General features: G+C 43.6%; 1 long non-coding RNA gene across 10 annotated transcripts in view, besides 4 other annotated features; it reads right to left on the minus strand.

Moving 5' to 3' along the window:
• The window catches only part of LOC105379271 (uncharacterized), a 114,785-nt gene that overhangs the window by 99,253 nt on the left and 2,155 nt on the right, over positions 1-13,377 (minus strand). For 7 of the 10 annotated variants that reach the window (XR_007068492.1, XR_007068490.1, XR_007068489.1 and 4 more), the window contains exon 2: positions 13,249-13,307. This is a non-coding gene — a long non-coding RNA (uncharacterized LOC105379271). Of the gene's footprint in view, positions 1-7,117; positions 7,160-10,016; positions 13,308-13,377 lie in introns of those variants that run through there. The other 3 variants (XR_949079.4, XR_949082.4, XR_001756095.3) reach the window with 3 other exon arrangements.
• Positions 4,128-4,339: a silencer, noted in NCBI's record as "fragment chr1:143456259-143456470 (GRCh37/hg19 assembly coordinates)". NCBI's record gives its function as "represses an EF-1alpha promoter that drives an FKBP-Casp9 reporter gene in an ReSE screen in K562 erythroleukemia cells {active_cell/tissue: K562}" and the evidence as "EXISTENCE:reporter gene assay evidence [ECO:0000049][PMID:32094911]".
• Positions 8,063-8,225: a silencer, noted in NCBI's record as "fragment chr1:143460194-143460356 (GRCh37/hg19 assembly coordinates)". NCBI's record gives its function as "represses an EF-1alpha promoter that drives an FKBP-Casp9 reporter gene in an ReSE screen in phorbol 12-myristate 13-acetate-treated (for megakaryocytic differentiation) K562 erythroleukemia cells {active_cell/tissue: K562(+PMA)}" and the evidence as "EXISTENCE:reporter gene assay evidence [ECO:0000049][PMID:32094911]".
• Positions 12,282-12,783: an enhancer, noted in NCBI's record as "H3K4me1 hESC enhancer chr1:143464413-143464914 (GRCh37/hg19 assembly coordinates)". NCBI's record gives its function as "activates a minimal SCP1, AML or CMV promoter by ChIP-STARR-seq in primed H9 embryonic stem cells {active_cell/tissue: H9 hESC(primed)}" and the evidence as "EXISTENCE:reporter gene assay evidence [ECO:0000049][PMID:30033119]".
• Positions 12,784-13,283: an enhancer, noted in NCBI's record as "H3K4me1 hESC enhancer chr1:143464915-143465414 (GRCh37/hg19 assembly coordinates)". NCBI's record gives its function as "activates a minimal SCP1, AML or CMV promoter by ChIP-STARR-seq in primed H9 embryonic stem cells {active_cell/tissue: H9 hESC(primed)}" and the evidence as "EXISTENCE:reporter gene assay evidence [ECO:0000049][PMID:30033119]".

The raw sequence follows: 13,377 nt of genomic DNA on the forward strand, positions 1-13,377 counted from the left end.
AACACTAGATGAAAGAGGCTCCAGAACAAAATATATCACCAGAAATAAAAAAGGTAATTTCATAAAAATAAAAGAATCAGAGAGGGTGATGTTACAATTATAAATTGTGCCTCAAAGTGCACACAAAGTACTCTCACACACAGAGCCTCAAATTATGTGAATCAAAAACAACAGAACAAAAGCAGGAAATTGACAATCCAAAATTATAGCTGGTGAATTAATACTGCTCTCTCAGTAACTGACGGAACAACCAGATAAAAATATAGGAAAAATACGGATCTAAATGACAAAATCCTGACCCAAATGGTACTTGGCAGTACCAAGATAGACTGTATGTTGATCAATTGAGAAAATGTTCAAGCATGACATAGTATACAAAGTATGTTGTCTGAACACCTGAAATTAAATTAGAAACCAACAACAAATTGATATCCAGAAAAGCCTCAAATGTCTGAAAACCAAGTAATAAACTTTGAAATACCCTGTGAGTCAAAAAAGTATTCACAAGGGGAACTGGAATGTATTTGGAACAAACTTGTTATAAAAATCATATTTCTGGTAGACTAAAGGTGACAACTTCTTTCCTGCTCCTCTCTCTGTGAGAACCAATTCCCCTTAAACCTTGCCCAGACTACTAACTTGCTTGGCCAACAGAAGGTGACAAAGGTGGTATTTGGGGACTTCAGAAGCCAGGCTGAGAAAACAGAACACTTATCCAGGAGAAAGCCAGTCACCAGGCAGGAAATCCCACTCCCCTGAGACCTCATGATGGAAACCACATGGCCAGTCCGTGACTAGCTACACACATTGACATCCCCCACTGACCCTCCAGCAACACCGACTCCCAACCACTAGTGAGCCTTCAGCAACATCCACTCCCAACCACTAGTGAGCCACCCTGCACACCACCCCACTGTGCTTTCACACAATCCAGCTTGGCTGCAACTGTGTGTGAGATGAGCTGGCCACCAAGACTCTCTAAGCCAAAAAACAGGTAATAATGAGTTGTTTTAAGCTGCCAAGTTTTGGGGATGGTTTCTTCAGAATAGATAACTGGAACAGAATATGGTAGCTGGAAATGAGCCGCTGTGGTAATCAGAAGCTACAATATGTGCCACGACTGTGAGGCTGACCTGTAACTGGGCCTCAAGGAGACCATTCATGCAACCTGGAAGGGCATCAAGACTCTTGGTCAGTGCCTGAAGGACGGTGAGAAAATGTCATTGGAAAGTGGGGAAAAGGCCTGAGAGTTATGTGCTGAGGGACTGTGAGAAAACTACAGCCACAACATGGAAACCGAAAGGGCACTGCACCATCTCAGGGATCTGCCTAAGGAGACATCTGGGAAGAACATGGAAAGTGCTACCAGCCTACCCTAACTGTCATTGAATAAATATGACAGGAGAGGGACATGATCTAAAGAAGGAAGTTCACTTTTCAAACAAAATTTAGAGAAAATATAAAGAAATAATTTCTTGTCTCAAAAGGCCAAAGAAAAAAAAAAAGAAAAGGAAAAAAATTAAAAAGAAGCCATTGAATACCCTATTGACCATAAGAAAAAGGCAGAGAAAGTTGGTCAACGGCAACCCAGGCACTGAAGGAAAAAGAACATGGAGAATGACAAAAGCCCAGAGGCAGGAGTAAAAGGACACAAACGCCGTTCTCAGGGACAAGGACTGGGCGCCATTCTCAGGGACCCGTACTGGGCACTAATCACAGAACTGTAACAGGCGCCCCATGGGAATGACCAGCTGTTAGACGGGGCCTGCAGGGCAGCACCTCCCTCCTGCCTCCCACCAACAGCTTCTAAAGGGAAATGCTGACTGTTTTCACACCAGTCCCCTCACTGCGGCTGAGTGTGTGGGCACAGATGATAGGTCACAACAACCTGATTCAGTCCCCACTGTGGCTGTGTGTGGGGGGGCAGATGACAGGCCACCATAACTTGATTCAGTCCTCACTGCGGCTGAGTGTGTGTGGGTGCAGATGACAGGCCACCACAACCTGATTCAGGATTCAGTTGGGCTACCAGCCAGTGCCATAAGGAAAACCATTCTGGGACTCTTGAGAGGGGCAAAGCATAATTTGCATGTGGGAGAAACGTTAATAGTTTGTGGCCAGAGGACAAACTGTGGTTTATTAAAGACTGCTGCAGGTTCCTACTATTCTTCTCATCAAGAGGTGGAATCTAATCACCTTCCCCCCTTGAATCATGGCTGGTCTCAGTGATGAGTATGACTGGACAGTGTGGCAGGATAGATGCTCTGGGACTTCTGAGGGATGATCATGAGAGGCCTTACAGCTTCTGCCTGGGCCTCTTGGACACACACCCTGGGAGAAGCCAGACAAACCTGAGTAACTGACACTGCCAGACTGGGAGGAAGTCCGTGCTGGCCACAAAGAGAGGGCTCGGTGCCTGCTCCATGTCCCCAGCCACTAGAGTCCTTCTGGGTGCCTGCTTCATGTCCCCAGCCACTAGAGTCCTCCCAGATGAGACCAGGGACATCACGAAGCAGCCAACCCACACTGCCCTGTCCAGTGTCTTGACCCAGAAAATTGTGACATGTAAAAAGAATAAATTCCTGGTTTAAGCCAGTAAGGTTACTGGTACATTGTTACATTGCAGATAATTAAAACCTTGAAAAACTCATGAGAGATCCCAAGTAAAACCTTGATCTGAAACATGGCATGTGGTGATTTATATTGAGTATTAGGTTAAAAATGCAAGAATGGAGCATAGTTAATATTTTACGTTAAAGCTAAAACTATAATTGCCCACTTAAAATTTTCAGTTAATTAGGTTGTCACTTTTTGTTCTTAACCAAGATATCAACTAGTTTTAGTACATAAACAGTTGGAACTGATGCACACATCCGTTTTTCCTTACTCATTTTAAGCAGCTATCTGAAATAGGAAGCGTAATATAATCTTTAAAGAATCTGAAAATATGACAGAAATGTTTAAACTATAAACATATATTGTAAATGTTAGCATATTATATACATTGCATATTAACATAAGCTAAAATCATTGACATAAATTTATATAAACAAAAGGTAGAAAATATGACAATGTTCTTCTTGTTTTTTGTCTTTGCATATTTCTTTATTGGCCCTTGTCAAATGTGACCCACTAACTCCTGAATGCTTTCTCTCTCCCCATGGATTCCTAAGGATGTCACCACAGTGCTGGCCAGATGCACAGGTCACAGGTGACTGAACCTCATCACCCCACAAACACACCCTTCAGGTTTTGCCAAGAATGACACTGTAAATATAACAAAGCTTCTGTGCTTGTTAGTGAACACCAACTCAGCTTCTCTCCTGTATTCGGAAATCAGGATGAGATGAAAACAACAAGCAGGCCAGGCACGGTGGCTCACGTCTGTAATCCCAGCACTTTGGGAGGCCGAGGTGGGCGGATCACCTGAGGTCGGGAGTTCGAGACCACCCTGATCAAAACAGAGAAACCCCATCTCTACTAAACATACAAAATTAGCCGGGCATGGTGGCACATGCCTGTAATACCAGCTACTCAGGAGCTGAGGCAGGAGAATTGCTTGAACCCAGGAGGTGGAGGCTGCAGTGAGCTGAGATCACACCACTGCGCTCTAGCCTGGGCAACAAGAGCGAAACTCTGTCTCAAAAGAAAAAAAATAAAAATAAAAGAACAAGGAAACAAAAGTAACAAGGCTTGACACCAGATGAGCCTGAATCTAAGCAAGAAAAGCCCAGAAGAAATCCCATTTTGGGTCACTGGCTGCACGGTAGTAATGCCATACACATAAGGGAAGAGAAGAGGATGTGGCTTTCACTTCGAATTTTTTGAGCTTAAGGTAAATTTGGATAGCTACAAAGAAGCATTCAACAGAGAGTTAAACCTATGATGGAAAGACTGAAGAGGTCCAAGCTGTAGAGAAACAGGACTGCAAACCACAAAGGGCTGAATCAGTCAAGGAGAACTGCAGGGCAAGATGAACAGGGACCAATGGAACATTTGGACAAGCTGTTGAGAAGAAAGGAGAATTCAGAGAAAAAGAACTGTCAGTGAGGTCATAATAGGAACTGTTACAGTGAACTAAATATGGCCTGGGAAGGACTCTGTACTTCTAGATTTGAGTCCCTGTGGACAAACTGCAACCTAACTTAATAGGTAGAAAGACTGAAAACCTAACTTAGGAGTATGTGCCTAAAACAGTAGCTGAGTCGTGGCCAATCCCAACAGCCAAACTTCTGCCACTCACACACTGCTGAGTGTTCAGCTGTGTTCAAATAAGGCAAATGCTGAGCACTGTAACCAGTCCAGTTGTTTCTGGACCTCACTGCTGAGAACTGTAATGGACCCAGTTGCTTCTAGACCTCACTCCTCACTTCAGATTTTTGTACATCATGTTCCCTTTATTGTCTATAAATCTTCCACCATGTGTCTGTGCTGGAGTCTCACCAAATCTGCTGTGATTCTGGGGGCTGCCTGATTCGTGAATCATTCATTGCTCAATTAAGTTCCTTTAAATTTAATTCAGCTGAAGATTTTCTTTTAATAGATGGTGTCAGAAGTGGGATCTGTGGGAGCAGGACTGCTAGGGCCTCTGGAGCTATACTGTGGTGAGCAGTGTTGCTAAGGCTTCTAATGACCCCCAGAGTGCTGAGGTACAAGGAAGGAACCTGAAAGGACCCGTTTGTGATGGCAGCAGTGGCCCACGTGGAGCAGTTGCTATGGAGACACTGGCTGCAGTGGGGAGGAGTGGCTGGGGCTGTGCACTCCTCAAAGCTGGTGGGAGCCAGGAATGGGTGGGAGACCTGTCCCTTCTAAATTATCAGGCAGGAACCCCGCCCTCCCAGGCACAGCTGCAGCCATCCAGCCATGACTGCAAACCCGGGCATCTCTGCACTCTCAGAGGCCCAGCAAGCCCCCCTGCCCCGCAGGCTCAGTTGTACCTGGTCCTGCCACCTGGCGTCCCTCTGCTTCCAGAACCCACTCCAAATTCGGATCCAAGTTGAGGCCAAACCCGGGCACAGTCACAACACGGCCCGGTTTGTGCAAGCTCAGGGCAGTGCTGACATGCCAGCCCCCTGCCACCTTGGCCCCCTCCAGACTTTGGGCACTGGCAAGCACAGGAGGGAGGGTGAGGTGGGGCTAAGAGTGGCTCAGCAGTGGCCAGAAGGCCCTCCTCAGCTCGAACGCCTGGGCACTATGGGCACAGCTACCCACCGTGCATCTCCTCTCAGCTGCTGAGAGCTGAACAGACGTTGGGATGACCTGCCTGCAGAAAGGAACTACCCACTGCAGGTCTCCTCTGAGCTGTACTGTGGCTCAATAAAGCACCTCTTCACCTTGCTCACCTTCTACTTGTCCACATACCTCATTTTTCCTGGACTCAGGACAAGAACTCGGGACCTGCCAACTAGCAGGGCTGAAAGAGGTGTAACATAAACAGGGCTGAAACGCGCTCCTTGCTTGCCAAATTGCAGGCAAGAAGAAGAGAAGAGAGAAGGAGAGAAGAGCTGTGTCCCTTCAGGGAACACAGACCTAGGAGCTCCCCCAGCCAGGGCTGTGACACCTTCTTTGGGGCTTTGCAGGTCCTGCATCTCCAAGCTTCTGGGTGCCACTGCATTCCCTGATACCCACAGTGGAAGCTGTTTGCAGTCGGCCTGGTCCAGCTGCAGCCTCACAGGGAGCTGGCATCTGTGCCTGGAGCTGCCCACCCCACTGCAGCTGGCATGCTTGGCTGTGTGCAGTGGCCAGATCCCATGCTCGCTTGCTCACACACCCCTCACTGCTCTGTACCCAGCTCGCCCTTGGCAGGTGTGGGATCCAGACCACTAGCATGAGCTGAGTGGACAGAACTAACCCAGTGGGCCCAAGCAAAACACAGGTAAAGGCTCCACCAGCCAGAGGTTTCAGGCAGAAAAGTGACGCCTCAGATTCTGTAACACTTGTGTCCTTTGATCTCTCGGAGCAGCTGGGGATCATGGTAAATTTTCTCTCGGATTTCAGAGCTCCATGGATTTGTGTTTTGAGCTCTGAGTTTCTTTGAGCAAATTTCTGTTCCAAACTGCTATCCAGCCATGACTGGCTGGATGTTTTAGAAGTTATGACAGAAAAGGGACCAGGTCCAGGATCAGATTTGATCCAGTAGTTAACTGGCTTGAATCCAGTTCCAGTTAGAGGCCTCCTACATCTGACTGGGTCAGAAGGAAAGTGGTAGTAAATGATAATATTGGAAGGTTGTAACATTTGGCTTTTGAAAATTCACAGGGATTTTTGTGTTCTACCCCTTTGTTTCATTTTTCTCGCATTCTTAAGCAGGAAAAAAAAATCATTGGCTAAGTTAATGAAGGGAACCCGGGAGTAAAGCCAATATTTTTGGTAAAAATAGGATCCTTAATTTCTGGAAAACTAAGCTCCTTCTGGCTAATACATTAGGCCTGGGAAGCAGCAAAGTCTTACAGAAATGGCAAAATCTTATTAAGATAACTTACAGTGGAACATTCCAAATGAATAATGCCCTGAAGTGCATTTAAAAATGAGGGCTCCCAAATTAGTCTCATCTAGGGATGCCTATTAATATGCAGAAGCTTCTAAAAAGATTTAGAGATGGCACGGCCCATCTGGGAGCAAGTTTGAGTCTTACCAGTTTGATACTGGGTGCTGAGCAAAGTGGCACGTGTCTATGTTTTGTCACATGTATTTTGCTCTGGGCAGAATGAAAAATGTTAATTTGGTTACTCCAAGCAACCCCTTGGGCTGCATTTGGCAAAGCTGAGTGGATTCTTCCTGCGATTCCATGATTTTCCATTGTGATGCAGCTTGGCCCCCAGAGCTATAATGTGGTGAGGAGGGTGACAGAGCAAGACGCAATCTTTAAAAAAAAAAAATGGCCAGGTGCAGTGGCTCGTGCTTGTAATCCCAACACTTGGGGAGGCTGAGGCAGGTGGATCACCTGAGGTAAGGAGTTCAGGGCCAGCCTGACCAACAAGGAAAAACCCCGTCTCTACTAAAAACACAAAATTAGCTGGGCATGGTGGCCCATGCCTCTAATCCCAGCTACTCAGGAGGCTGGGGCAGGAGAATCGCTTGAACAGGGGAGGCAGGGGGTTGCAGTGAACCGAGATCACACCATTGCACTCCAGCCTGGGCAACAAGAGGGAAAATCCATCTCAAAAAAAAAAAAAAAAAAAAAAAGAAAGAATAATAGGTTTGTCTATAAGGTTTTATGAAAAAGTGGGTGACATTTGGCTTTCTCTCTTTAAAGAAGATGTTCAGGTAATATTAAAAAATAATGAAAAATTTGTTTGCCTTTTAAATAAACTACCAAAAAAAAAAAAGGAAAAACAAGAGGCAGATCGTTTGTGAAGATAAGTCTTCCCTCTATCAATGAGTAAAGATTTTTGCCCTTTAAAACTTTTTTAAGTCATGATTTTAAGTAAATGAATGACTTACGGTGACCTGGAATTCTATTTCATAACATCAAGTGTTTAAACTTTTAATATATTTAATAGGCTTCCCAAAATCAAATTTCAACTTCAAAATTGTCTTTTCTGACCTCTACCTTTGGGATACTACAGAGGCCCTTGAAGCACCCAAAAGAGAGGTAAACAGGACTATTTAACATGTTAAGTCACATGGGTAGCACTGTCAAAATAAAACATAATGTTGAACCTTCTTGAGGTTATATTTAGTTTATGTCATCAACCCTTTCTAAAATTGTATAGGATTTCTAAAATTCTTTTTTTTTTCCCCCGAGACGGAGTCTTGCTCTGTCACCAAGGCTAGAGTACAGTGGCACAATCTCGGCTCACTGCAACCTCCGCCTCCTGGGTTCATGCCATTCTCCTGCTTCAGCCTCCCGAGTAGCTGGGACTACAGGCATCCACCACCATGCCAAGCTAATTTTTGTATTTTTAGTAGAGATGGGGTTTCACTGTGTTAGCCAGGATGTTCTCATCTCCTGACCTCGTGATCCTTCCACTTCGGCCTCCCAAAGTGCTGGGATTACAGGCGTGAGCCACTGCAACTGGCCAGGATTCTAAAATTCTAATATGCCTATATGCTATCTATCATAATTACCTGTTTTGTTTGTTTTGAGACAGAGTTTCGCTCTTGTCACCTAGGCTGGAGTGCAATGGTGTGATCTAGGCTCACTGAAGCCTCCACCTCCTGGGTTCAAGCATTTCTCCTGCCTCAGCCTCCCAAGTAGCTGGGATTACAGACAACTGCCACCACATCCGGCTAATTTTTTTATTTTTAGTAGAGACAGGGTTTTACCATGTTGGCCAGGCTGGTCTCAAACTCCTGACCTCAGGTGATCCACCTAACTTGGCCTCTCAAGAGCTGAGATTACAGGAATGAGCCACCACATCCACCCTAATTATGGTTATTAAGTTATTGTAGACCACAGAAATAAGCAAATTTCCTTATCAATTGTCTTTAACTATAACTATTTAAAGTCATTTCCACAGTTAATTGCTTAATGGTGATGCAGTTTCTAAAAGCTTCACAAGCATGCAAAATTCTAGAATAGAAGATTCATGAAAGAATGAAAAGGAACATGAAAAACACTCGGGAACACAGGTTTCTAATAACTTTAATATCATAGGTAAAAATTCCCCATAAGTTCCCCGATCCCCCAATAATTGGACTGGTTAAGAATTCTCAAAAGTTAGGCTGGGTGCAGTGGCTCATGTTGGCAATCCCAGCACTTTGGGAGGCTGAGGCCGGTGGATCACTTGAGGTCAGGAGTTTGAGACCAGCCTGGCCAATGGTGAAACCCCACCTCTACTAAAACTACAAAAATTAGCCGGGTGTGGTGGTATGCATCTGTAATCCCAGCTACTCGGGAGGCTGAGGCAGGAGAATCACTTGAACCCAGGAGGCGGAGGTTGCAGTGAGCCAAGATTGTGCCACTGCACTCCAACCTAGGTAACAGAGTGAGACTCTGTCTCAAAAAAAAAAAAAAAAAAATCCTAAAGTTTAATAAGAAGACCAACTGGTTTATAAAACTGCTAACCCAAGTAAAACAAAAATTGAATATCAAGGAAATATTTTGCCAGATTTGCATGCTAAATCACCAATATTGAAATTGTTTAGATATATAATTTAAATACACTCCATGGTCTAAGCCAAATTACCTATAACTCATCAGTTACCAGTGCCATGCACCTAATTTGAAGAAACAGCTGGTAGTCAAGAGGATGTAAGTCTAATGTTAATTAAGCACGGACTTATGAAGAACCAGGATGGCCACCTTTCCGTCTTAAGTCCTTAAAACTTTTGTTATTAAAAGTTCTGCATTCCATAACTCATCATGGAAAGAGAAAATGATCCAAATTAAATATATTGCTGTGGTGATCTCTAAATTGCTAAAATAGTTTATAATCAATGTTTGGTTTGTCGAACCTATATTCCTAGGAAAACAATCAAAACTTCAGGTGCATTTGGTTACCTGATGGGCCATTTAAACATTTTATAAAGGGATTTCATTCAGTTGTCATTTTCAGTGCATGTTTTCTGATTGTAAAAAAGCTCTTCCATGCAAGAGGGTTGATGTTAAAACAGTAGATTATTATGCTGAAGTGTATTTTCACCAGCTAAAGAAAGCCTTTTATGGTTCACAGAGGACAGCCAACCCCTTCACAATCTAGAATATGATGACTGGATCTTCTGAGAACATCAGAGGACTGCCCTTGCCATCCACATGACAGCAAAACTTTAAAACCTTAAACTTTGGGTTCATAGTCTTACAACTCTGAAGGGTCCCTCCACACTCGGAACCATACACCCCTTGGAACCCTTAAGGTAAAGCTAACAAGGACAGTTCCCCCCCAGAAGAAGATGGCATCCTTAATGTGAACAGCTTTTCCCAAGATCACAGATCAAGACTTCTCTACTATCATGAGACTATTATCTTAAGTATCTGTGCAGCTGCTAACATGGCATATGGAGAAAACATCGGGTATTATAAAGATTTGGTTGTAGGGAATTAACAAAAAAACCCACTTAGTTAAGCAAGTAAACTCTTTATCTAATTCATTCTTTAATCTATTTGATTTTAGGTGGTTTGATTTATGGGGACCCGGAGTAAGGAGCATATACCAAATTCTTGGTGTTATCCCAATAGTCATAAGAGTCTCCCTGGTGCACTGTACTTACTCAAATGTTTTAAGAGTTTGCATGCAGCCATCTCTAAAATGTCAAATGGTATCTCTTCATCTGGAATGACAACAGATTAAAAAAAATGTGCAACCATAAGGACACCGTAACCTATGAGTGACATGCTAAACCAGAAACCCAAAACAATGGGAGTGACATGCTAAACCAGAAACCCAAAACAATGGGACTGATGTACTAAAACCGGAACCCAAAACAATGGGAGTGATGTACTAAAACCAGAACCCAAAACAATGGGAGTGACGTGCTAAACCAGAAACCCAAAACAATGGGAGTGACGTGCTAAAACCATTACCCAAAACAATGGGAGTGATGTGCTAAACCGGAAACCCAAAACAATGGTAACTAAGAGTGAGGCTAAGGCCCTACATTTTGGTCACACTCTCAACTAAGTGAGAACTTGACTGAAAAGGAGGATTTTCTTTTTCTGAGACAGAGTCTTGCTCTGTCCCCCAGAGTGGAGTGCAGTGGCATGATCTCGGCTCACTGCAAGCTCTGCCTCCCGGGTTCAGGCCATTCTCCTGCCTCAGCCTCCTGAGTAGCTGGGACTACAGGCACCCGCCAGCATTCTTGGCTATTTTTTTGTGTATTTAGTAGAGATGAGGTTTCGCCGTATTAGCAAGGATGGTCTCAATCTCCTGATCTCGTGATCTGCCCACCTCGGCCTCCCAAAGTGCTGGGATTACAGGCATGAGCCACCGTGCCCAGCCAAAAGGAGGAATTTTTTAAGCAAAATTCTGGGAGGCCATTGTTTTGAACTAAGCTCATGCAATAGGTCCCAACAGAACAAACCAAACCAAAATGGAGTCACTCATGCTAAATGGAACATAATCAAACTAAGACTTTAAGGAAACACATAAATCCTAGAACAAACCAGGTTTTGTTTTTCTCCTGTAAACAGGATATTCCAGCATAAGAAGACACCTTCTACTCAAGTCCTTGTTCCACCTTTTCAAATCTCACTGTTCTATTTCCCAGTGGGTTTCTAAACCAAATAAGTACATTTGCAAGGGTAATAGTGACACCAGTGACTGAAGTTTTGGCTAATCTCTCAAAATTGAGAAAATAACCAAAGGGAAGGCATTGTTAAAGTGAACTAAGTATGTCCTGAGAAGGACTCCATAATTATATATATGAGTCCTTGTGGATGACCTGCAACCTACCTTAATAGGTAAACAAGAATGAAAACCTAACTTGAGTGTATGCACCTCAAACAACAGCTACATCTTGGCCAATCCCAATGGCCAAACTTCAACCAATCAGGCACTGCCAAATGTTCAAACTGTGCTCAAACAAGGCAAACGCTGAGTTGTTTCTGTACCTCACTTCCGATTTCGTTATGCCACTTCCCTTTTGTCTACAAATCTTCTTCCACCACATGACTGTGCTGGAGTCTCTGTGAATCTGCTGTGATTCTGGGGACTTTCCGATTCATGAATCGTTTATTGCTCAGTTAAACTCCTTTAAAGTTTTTCTTTTAACAGAACTAACACGGAAGAATTTCCAGATCATGAACAGATGTTTTGTAATACCCAACGTTGTATTAACATGAATAGACTCTTCCTTAGATAGCTAACCTTGTTTTTAATATGAATAGACTCTCCCTTAGCTGAGAAAACCAGACAAACTCCATTTGGCTCCTTCATTTACAAGACATCAAGGGCTCCTTACCCACCCCCTTTCCTCAAGGACTTTAACTTGTGCAAGCTGATTTTCAACATATCAAAGAGTGCAATTAACTGATAAAGTGCTGAGGCAAGTGATGTCCGCAGTTCCCAGCAAATTACTCAGAGATAATATCATAAAGCCCCCACATTTGTCTGGAAGATAAAGCCCAGAGCACCCTCACTCATCACTTTGTGGTGAATTTAAAGCCTCTGCACCTGGAACAGTTTGTTTTCCTGTAACCATCTGTCTTTTTAAGTTTTTTGTCTGTTTTTTCTTCTGTAAGTTTATTGCAGCTGGAATCCCCCCTCCCCTCTCTAAACCAATGTATAAAAGAAAATCTAGCCCATTCTTTAGGGCCGAGAGTATTTCCTGTGTTAGCCATCTCTCAGTCACCAGCTAATAAAGGACTCCTGAATTCGTCTCAAAGTGTGGCATTTCTCTCTAACTCGCTTGGGTACGACAGTTTCAACTATGGTAGAAGACTCGAGTAAGACAAATACAGCCCCCCTAAATTTGACTATTATTTAGGTTAATGGTGAGTTTAGAAGAAATAAGTTAAGACTACACAGAGTGGGCTAAATTGCAAATAAACACTGAAAATATTTCCCAGAAAATATGACTTTGAACAGGCTGCTGCACACCCTGCATGTAGAGATAAACTAAGAAAAATGTGTGGAGAGTTATTTAAGGACCTGTGGTTAACTCAGTCCTCAAGATGTTCCGGGTTTCATCCATGAGTCAAGGAGGACCTCCCAAAAGCTGTTTGGGACCACACTCTTTGAGCAAGGAGCATACCTTATGATGGAAGCTGTGCTTTAGCAGCAGATGACCATTTCCACTGCACAACACGCCGTGCTTTAGCAGACGATGACCATTTCCACTGTACAACATGCTGTGCTTTAGCGTCAGATGACCATTTCCACTGCACAACACGCCATGCTTTAGCGGAAGATGACCATTTCCACTGCACAACACGTCATGCCTTAGCGGAAGATGACTGTTTCCACTGCACAACACTACAAGTGCTTACTGCCAGACCGGTGTGAAATATGTTCCAGCACATAATCTATGTCACCAATGAAGGTGGTGGTTAAGACTTGGTGCACACAAGCTTTCCTGTCCCACAAGAATACAGCGTGCTCTCTTTTCGGGTTCCATTCCAATCACGTAACAAACATGACTGCCTTTTTTGTTTCGGCATCAGAAAGATCAGAGGAAACTTTGCACTCAACTTAGACAACTCTAAGCTTTTATAACCTGTCTATATCTACAGGTCAGCTTTATCTTATTTATGTATATTTCCTTCAACCTGAGTTTTACTTATTTCCACTTTTCCTTTTTAATTCACAGACACCCATAAACTCAGAAAATACAGTGTAAAACAAAGTGAAGAACAAATAAACAACTCACCAGAGATTTATTCGTTTCTTGTTGCTCTTGGAAACACCCAGAGGACACTGGAAACATAGCTGGAAGAGAAGGCAAATGACGTCGATTAAGGAGAGAACTGGTGAGGTGTGGTCCCAGATTCTTCTGCCC

Source organism: Homo sapiens, assembly GCF_000001405.40.
Source record: "Homo sapiens chromosome 14 unlocalized genomic scaffold, GRCh38.p14 Primary Assembly HSCHR14_CTG1_UNLOCALIZED".
In the NCBI taxonomy this organism is placed as follows: domain Eukaryota; kingdom Metazoa; phylum Chordata; class Mammalia; order Primates; family Hominidae; genus Homo; species Homo sapiens.